The following is a 1,751-nucleotide window of genomic DNA, read 5'->3' as shown; positions in this document are numbered from 1 at the left end:
ACAAATTACCAGAACTGACACAAGAAGAAATAGAAACTCTGAAAGGACATCTGATTTTTAAAAAAAATGGCAATCATAATTGAAAACCTCCCCCACTGAAAGAATAGGTTGTTTGGTTCTGGGAAGGATGAGTCATCAGCTTTTACTGAAGAACAGTCTGGAAAGATTGAATGCAATTGGGGCAATGGTGAGAACAGTCACTGTCATGAACCATTTCTACAGCATCTACCACAGCCACGACACCTGGTGATTTACTGACCATTTCTTACAACCCTGAGTCATAGACGAGGTAAGTGGCTGAGTGTTTCAGTGCCTTGCCAAAGTCACACAGGAAGTGGCAGAACTGTCTTCACACCTCACGTCAGGGAAGGTACTCAGAGCCTGGCTCCCTCATCTCCTTTTCTCTCTCACGCATGAGTGTTTGGTGCAAAAGACAAAGGCTCGTATGAGAAGAGAGGAAACTGTGGAACCCACTGAAATCTTTCAACACTGCCCTTGGTGGGATTCCCTCCTGTTGTCTAGACTCTTCTGCAACATGAGCTCCTCGAGATAAGGAACTGCATTTTAAATAATACTAAAATAAATACAAAACCAAAAATAGGCATATACATGGATATGATAACCATAGACTTTGTTCTCCAAACCAAAAACCCTTTGCTGGCTGAGAGAGTGCGGTGTTGGTAGTAACCTCAGGCAGGGACCTGAGAACCAAGGATAAGCAGCCCACCTAGGGCAGCGGTGGATGGCAACCCCACCCTCCAGGAGCTTAACGTAATACCCCTCTTATTCACAGCCCCCCAGAGTTGCCTGACTGCACTTCACAAGCATCCATTCCCTTGGGCCTCTCATCCTCCCAGGGAAGCAGGTGGGCACTATTGTGATTATTATTTTATTTATTTATTGGTCACAGTGCAGTGGTCCGATCTTGGCTCACTGCAACCTCTGCCTCCCAGGTTCAAGCAATTCTCCAGCCTCAGCCTCCCGAGTAGATGGGACTACAGGCATGCACCACCACACCCAGCTAATTTTTATATTTTTAGTAGAGAAGGGGTTTCACCATGTTGGCCAGGCTGGTCTGGAACTCCTGACCGCAGGTGATCTGCCTGCCTCAGCCTCCCAAAGTGCTGGGATGACAGACGTGAGCCACCGCGCCCAGCCTGGACATTATTATTATTCCCATTTCACCAGAGACGAAAACAAGACCAAACAGGTTGTTGATTTTCTTGAGATCAGAGAGCAGGGACCCATTCCAGGTTCCTCATGGCACAGTGCACTCTTTCTGTGAAAGCTTTTACCTCTCCTGTGATTTTCGGAAAAATTGGAAAAGCCAAACACAAAATGAAAGCTCACAACACCTTTTTGTTTCCCTTTTTGCTTCAGGTGCCAGGAAGTCCAGAACAAAACCTTAGGATGGTTTGGAGCACGATGATCCCTGCAACCTCTGTGATAACCTGCTAGTTCCATTCCCACTGTTCTGGTTTTTGTGTGTGTGTGTGTGCCTCTGCGATAACCTGCTAGCTCCATTTCCACTGTTCTGTTTTTCTCGTGCCTCTGCGATCACCTGCTAGTTCTATTTACACTATTCTGTTTTTCTTGTGCCTCTGCGATAAACTGCTAGTTCTGTTTCCAATGTTCTGTTTTTTTCTTGCATTTCCCAAACCCCTTTTGGAAGCAGATGGGTACAAGCTATAAATAACTTATTTAAAGGAATCAATCTGTGTGCACAGGTGGGCCTCGGCATCTGCTAACCT

General features: G+C 46.0%; 1 annotated feature.

Annotated features, from left to right (window-relative positions):
- Positions 245-324: a silencer, noted in NCBI's record as "silent region_7891". NCBI's record gives its function as "represses an Ori minimal core promoter by ATAC-STARR-seq in GM12878 lymphoblastoid cells {active_cell/tissue: GM12878}" and the evidence as "EXISTENCE:reporter gene assay evidence [ECO:0000049][PMID:35858748]".

The sequence above is a fragment of the Homo sapiens genome, chromosome 16, assembly GCF_000001405.40.
Source record: "Homo sapiens chromosome 16, GRCh38.p14 Primary Assembly".
NCBI classification, from domain to species: domain Eukaryota; kingdom Metazoa; phylum Chordata; class Mammalia; order Primates; family Hominidae; genus Homo; species Homo sapiens.
Note: the sequence above shows the minus strand (reverse complement) of the source record. Positions and strands in the feature narration are given on the sequence as shown.